Consider the following 7,483-nt stretch of genomic DNA (forward strand, 5'->3'; position numbering starts at 1 on the left):
ACAAATGTGGCAGGGGCGTTCAGTTGGAGTATCCTGTTAAGCAATATGGGTGCTTTATTTGGGCTGTGCTTTCTTGGTATATGGTTCTTTAAGAATATGAGAATATAGCAACATCAGCTAGTCCAGGAGCAATGCTATTAACCTGAATGGTCAGTGCAGTTGCAGACCTGGGAGCAGTTAATCAACTAATGGATATTTCTGTAGAGAGAAACTATCTAGTGAGGTCATATGAGTTGTACAACACAAGTGGTCAGCATCATGAGTCCTCCACTCCAGAACTAAAATCCCTTTCTCTGTGTTACCTTGCTGCCTATCTGCATCTACCTTTTCTCCTCCTGTGCCAATTCACTACCATCCACCATCGACTTACTAAATATATTGTTTACAAAGTGACCTAATATAACTATGGAATAGAGGATGTTTATGAAGAAGACAAACAATTTTATTTTAAAATGTTTTACTCATATTCATGATTCATAGTGAAGCAAGACTGGTTTTTAAAACATTATAATACATTTTTCATTACTTATATTTTATAGTTTTATTTTAATATAAGAAACCATAATAAGTATAAATCATGACTCCGAATCTCACCACCTAGATAAACTCAGGAATCATCCTTTTTCTAGGTGGCATGACCTTAGACTTCCACCAACAAGGTAAAGGATATTATAAAACATTTTCAGAAGCCCTTTCTGAAATGGGAAAAATGGTGTTTCATTGTTGTTTCAATTTGTACAATTTTTTTTGGTGGAGGGGTCAGAGTCTTCACTCTGTCACCCACGCTGGCGTACAGCGGCGTGATCATGACTCACTGCAGCCTCAACCTCCCAGGGTTCAAGCGATCCTTCCAGTTCAGCCTTCCAAGTAGCTGAGAGTGCAGGCACATGCTACCATGCGGGTTAATTTTTTGTAGAGACGGGGGTCTCACTTTGTTGCCCAGGCTGGTCTAGAACTCCTGGGCACAGGCCATCTTCCCACCTCGGCCTCCCAAATTGCTGGGATTACAGGCGTGAGTCACCGCGCCTGGCCTTAATTTCTATCAATTTAATTGATGTTCTCTATTCTTATTCATTGGCCATGGCTAAAAATGCTTATTGTGTCTAATTTGTGCTTTTAAATATGTTTGTGGGATACCTATATTTACATGCAACCCTCAGGATATGGAATAATTGTTTATATGTGTAACAAACTTTAACAGCTTATTCTTAACAATAATAGGTAAAATCTGGGAAAACGAATTGTATCATTCCTATGTAGTATTCATGAAAACATTTTTAGATTTCCTTACCGACATGTAGAATGAAGCAGTAGTCTGTCAATCTGTTACAAACTAGACCAGTGGTTCTCCAAGTGAGGTTCGCCAGACCAGCAGGATGAGATCAGCTGGGAACTTAAAATTTGAATTCTGGGGTCCTACCCAACTACAAATCAGAATCTGGGGGTGAGACCCAGAAATCTGCGTTTTATTAAGCCCTCCAGCCAATTCTCATGTACCGTGAAGTTTGACAACATTTGGAGTAAACCAACAATGAGGAACCTCATGTAAAATGCTACTTAAGAGACTTTTTCTCACCCCCCACTGTAATGTCAATGTGCACATTTTCTTTTCTTTTCTTTTTTTTTGCATCCAAAATCATTTTAATAAGAGAGTAGGATCCAGGGTTAGTTTTTGTAGCCTCAGCTGGCCCGTCAGCCTCTGGCGCGCTCGAACTTCCGGCCCTTGGAGTGGACGTAGGGTTTGGTGTGGCTGTGCGGGGTTCCCGGGGCCTTGCCAAAATGCCCGTACACCTTTCGGCCCTTGAGAGGACCGGAGAGCAGGACGGTGCTGCAGCCCTTGCGGGAGTCCACGGCCAGCTGGTCGAAAAGTGAGGATCTTGCCCCCTGCCCTGAGGACGCGGCTGCGGGCCAGGTTGGTCACACTCAGCACACACACCTTCAGTTTGGGCACCTCCTGAACCCGCACGTCATCTGTTATGCTCCCCACAATCACGGCCGTTTTGTTTTCCCGGACAGGAAGCTTCACTCTTCTGGATCATCTGGGAAAGGGACAGAGGTGGCCGGTTGGTACGACTCATAAACAACCTCTTCAGCACAACCTGGTTGAATGTGGAGTCGGTTCGTCTGGCCAGAAAACTGCACAGCTTGACCAACAGCCTCAGGTAGATATCCTGGCTCTTGGGCTCCTTGCGCCGAACCTTTCGGTCCTTGTTGTGGCAGATGTCAGCTCCCATGATGGCGTCTCCTGCTCGGCCAGGTACGGAAAGAGAGAACGGCCAATGTGCACATTTTCTATTAAGACTTCTTCCTCTCCTCTCTCCCTTTCTTTTCCCCTCTCTCTTGCAGAAATTCCCTCCATTTGTGTCTTTATTTTTTAATCTTTCCGAGATAATAGCTTCACTAATGCATTGCTACATGTGGAGAATCTATTAACTTTTAAGATAAAAAGTTCATTTGCTAAATTCTCCCCATATGTTCAAACTCATAAAGTACTTGTTCTGATTGATATGATACAAACAAAAAATCATATTACTCAATGTAGCATAATTTTAGGAATACTTTTGTGGTCCTGCATTAGCACCGATTTTTGAACATGCTTTATTAAATTCTAAAATCTTGCACACTACATGTCATTGTGGTAGTTACAGTATATATCAAGATTTTTAGGTTAAAATCTTAAAGTAAGGCATATTTGTTCCTAAACGCAGTAAGAGGAATAAGAGCACTATTAATATTACTATTGTGATTAAAATTGTTTATGTTAATATTTTCATAAGACTTATCTCATTCAATTCTCATAATAATTCTATGAGGTAGGGCCCACTGTTATTTTGCTTTGCTGAAATATTCGTAAGTCTGCTGAAATATATACTACAAAATAGGACTGAAAAGAAAAACACTCAAATTTAAAACTTATTAAATTGTTAACTATTTAATTAAGTTCTACTCATCACAACGGATTCCAAATAGACATTAGATAAACCTAAAGGCTTCTAGTGAAGTAAAATATTATTAAACAATTTTCATATTTCAATTTTATAAAATACGCATGTAATCTAACATAGTACTATATAACTTTTTTTAATAGGATTTTTATTTTAAAAGGTTTTAACATGATTTTTTTTGGTCTATTTCAGTAATTATTTGGAAAGGTAATTTATGTCCTAAAAAATTGTAACTATGGTGTTGTGAATTTGGGCATCTTCTAGGCTAGGGAGTTTTTGGACAACTCATAAAAGTTCTCTCTTTTTACTGCATCCAGTCCAACTCATCATTTTTTAAATGTTGAGGGGATTATAAATTCATGGCTTCAAAGAATGGTATCATACTTAAAGTACAATAAATAAGAAAATGAGTCGCATTCTCCCCAAAATTAATTCACTGTGGTTCTATTAAAGGTGATCAGAATTCAAGAATCATGTAAGAACATACTCCCTACTTAAGTGTTACTTTAGGAACTACTTTTTTTTTTTCTTTTTTGAGATAGAGTCTTACTCTGTCACCCGGGCTGAGTGCAGTGGCGGAATCTCAGCTCACTGCAACTTCTGCCTCCTGGGTTCAAGTGATCCACTTGCCTCAGGCTCCCAAAGTACTGGAATTACAGGTGTGAACCACTGCACCTGTCCTGAACTACTCTTTTAGAAGTATAAGGAACTATATTGACTTTTGCTGTAGAGTCTCAACTATTCAAAAAGCAATGTTAAAAAAATTGAAATCACTCATTTTCTCCTTTGCAAAAAAGTAACTACATGGGATCTTTAGTATAAATACACATTTAGTAAAAACAAATGAGAGATGATACTTCCCACCCAAACTGGACTTTTTGGAATTAAAAAATTGAGATGGTTTGAATACAAATAAACTAAGACATCAAGGTTTCTATAAACTGTTACAGAATACAGAGAAAACCTAAGACATATGATATCATCTTTTATGGGCAATTTCATCAATTTGTGTATGTAGTAGCACTCTAATGACAAAAAAGGAGATAGAACAAAATGATTCCACAGAATAAATGGACATGATCCCGTGATTCTAGACTGATGAGACCTGACTTTCCTTGCAGAATCAATATGCACAATTGTATTCATAAGGAATATATTCCATTACATTCAGAGAAGTATTATCTATAAAATGAAATTTTTAGAAATGTCATGTGAGATAAGTCATGTGTGAAATTAAGGGGAAGTTCAACTTGTAAATTTTTGCCTACTCAAAATTTACCCCAATCGTGGCTCTGGGGCATTCCCCAGTGAGTTAACTGGTAAGAAGTAGAGGGCCGCCTACCAATATGGCTGCCAGAGGGCCACACCTCCCTCCTTGACTCTGGCAATCAGCATGTGGGCATGCATCTAATATTTGGCTGACTGCTTACTCCACTCTCAGGCCTGGTGCTACTGAGCAAAGACAAGAGGACACCTAGGTCCACATTCTTGGCTCCTCAGAGCTGCCTTGAATTCTGTGCATTTTCTAAGCTAAGTCCTTGGAAATCCCTTGGAGTTGACATTATCTTTCTACTATATTTCCGTATTGCTTATGCTCACCAGCATCAGTTTCTTTTGCTTGTAACCAAGACCTCTTATTTTGAAAAATATTTTGCACATATTTCTTAAGGGTTTACTATAGTTTTAGTAATGTGCAGATGTTGCCATTTTATTTACTAAGGAAAATCATGGCTTATGCCTCCAAAAATTTACAGTCTCCAGACGGAGGTGAATCAGTATGGAAAGTGCTACATATATCATAATAAAATAATGAGTGTTAATATGCATTTTTTTTATTTTGAGACAGAGTCTCGCCGCTCTGTCGCCCAGGCTGGAGTGCAGTGGCGCCATCTCAGCTCGCTGCAAGCTCCGCTTCCTGGGTTCACGGCATTATCCTGCCTTAGCCTCCCGAGTAGCTGGGACTACATGCACCTGCCACCACACCCGGCTAATTTTTTTTATTTTTAGTAGAGACGGGGTTTCACCCTGTTAGCCAGGATGGTCTCGATCTCCTGACCTCGTGATCTGCCCGCCTGGGCCTCCCAAAGTGCTAGGATTACAGGCGTGAGCCACCGTGCCCGGCCAATATGCATATTAAGAAACCAAAAGATAATACAGAATTTCAGGGCATCTCAACAAAGTACCAAACAGTTTTTCACATATGGTGGCCTTGCTCTTACTGGGAAAGCTTGCAAAACAATGGTGTGTGTGCATTTGTGTGTAAATTTTTTTTTAAATAATCATATATATAACTTTCTTGAAGCTACCCAATCCAGAATTTTTTTTAAAAAAAACATGAACTGCTGTCTCCAGGTAACAAATATAATTTGAAAAGAAGCTTTAAGATTAGGATTCAGTGACTAATTTCTGCAATAAAAATGAAATCCATCCATTTTTTCTCCTGCATTTTAATATCTGATAAAAATTTTTCATTTTAAATACTAACTATTCAAGTCTTTTCAAGCTTCTAAAAGACTGGAAAGTTAATTTTCCAAATGTGCTGATGAGCAATTGCAAAGATTAGTTTACATAATCTATGTTCCTGCTGGCAGAAGCATTACTTTCTATTTAATACAATGAAACTGGTATTTTTAAGGCATTTTTTCCTTTATAAAATCTGAACTTAACACATACCCTGTGTGAATATAAAATAAAAACAATTGTTTGTTTCTGCAAATTTCATCTGAAGTAGAAGTTTTAACTGCCAACTCTGAATCCAGGTTCAATAGTGAAACATGGATACATGCTCACAAATATTAAGATTTCTGGCATTTAAAACTTCCAAAGAAACAATAATTTCATAGTCTTTTAGGGAGCTGAGTAGAAGGAGTAATATAGGAACTTTTTGGATTTGGTAATGTTTAATCTATAACTAAATGTGGAACTATATCATGTCTTCTCCAAAATAACATATTATATCTTATTTCTTAATAGGAATAAGAAAACATTTTTGATTTTGAAAATGATATCTAGGAATAGATAAAGTGGATACAGAAGTGTTCAGGTATTTTAAAACTACTATTTTTTCACAATGTAAAAAGTTGCAGAATTGGAGGTTGATAAAACTCAAATGCAAAACTATTGGCCACTGCAAATCACCTAGAATTACTACCTGGGTAAAACTTGTTTGCATTCCCCATCAGTGTAGAGACTAAGTCACTGTGAAGAAATGAATGGATATTTTGAATAGGAGATGGGCGACTTAGAAAAAAAAATCTCCCCATTGATTAGGGCAGCCTTGCTGTGGAAAGAAGTGGCACTGTGGTGAACCTTAGAACATCCTGAAATATTACGTACCTGGGCAGCAAAGGAAGTTTTGTGAGGTCCAAAATACACAATCTCTCAGTATTTGGTATAGACAATGGATGACCATGAATTGTCTAATAACAGCTTATCCATATCCTTCATATGGGCAATACCAGAGATTCTCTACTTTTATCCCTAACCTTGCCACAATTGAGTCATTTTCAGAATCCAGTCTGAATTTCCAGTTAAAAATGTTGCATTGATCAACCTGATTTTTATCTCTTTTCAAAACCCCACTGCCATAATAGAAATGGAATTTTATCATTATAAAGGCACATGAGCATGTATGTTCCCTGCAACACTATTCACAGTAGCAAAAGCATGGAGTCAACCTAAATGCCCATCGGTGATAGACTGGATAAAGAAAATGTGGTACATATACACCATGGAATACTATGCAGCCATAAAACAAGAATGAGATACGTCCTTTGTGTGGATATGGATGGAGCTGGAGGCCATTATCCTTAGCAAACTAACATAGGAAAAGAAAACCAAATACTGCATGTTCTCACTTACTAGTGGGAGCTAAATGATGAGAACTCATGGACACATACAGAGAACAACACACACTGGGGCCTTTGGGAGGGTGGAGGGTGGGAGGAGGGAGAGGATCAGGAAAAATAACTATTGGGTACTAGGCTTAATACCTGGGTGATGAAATAATCTGTACAACAAACCCCCATGACAAAGTTTACCTAGGTAACAAACTTTCACATGTACCCCTGAACTTAAAATAAGTTAAATTAAAAAAGAAAAATAGTGAAAAAAAATAGTGGAAACTGGTGTTGGGGAGTGGTATTGGGGATAGAGAATGTATGGGAACTCGGTACTTCCTGTTCAATTTTTGTGTAAACTGAAAACCTCTCTAAGAAATAAAGTCTACTAATTTAAAATAAAAACACAACCAAATCAAACCATCAACTAACATGGAAAAAGAAAAGAGTTCTGAGAGTCCACCACTGAATAAAGATATTGACAGCTTTACTGGGAATCAGAAGGTGACTGAGGAATGGTGACTAATTTAAAAACAGAGTAACTAGGCCGGGTGCAGTGGCTCACGCCTATAATCCTAGCACTCTGGGAGGCCCAGGTGGGCGGATCACCTGAGGTCAGGAGTTCAGGACCAGCCTGGCCATGGTGAAACCCCGTCTCTACTAAAAATACAAAAAATTAGCCAGGCATGGTGGTGCGTG

At 38.4% G+C, this 7,483-nt stretch overlaps 1 pseudogene; it reads right to left on the reverse strand.

The window, feature by feature from the left end:
- RPL18P13 (ribosomal protein L18 pseudogene 13) lies at positions 1,628-2,269 on the reverse strand (annotated as a pseudogene).

This window comes from Homo sapiens, chromosome 16 (genome assembly GCF_000001405.40).
Source record: "Homo sapiens chromosome 16, GRCh38.p14 Primary Assembly".
In the NCBI taxonomy this organism is placed as follows: domain Eukaryota; kingdom Metazoa; phylum Chordata; class Mammalia; order Primates; family Hominidae; genus Homo; species Homo sapiens.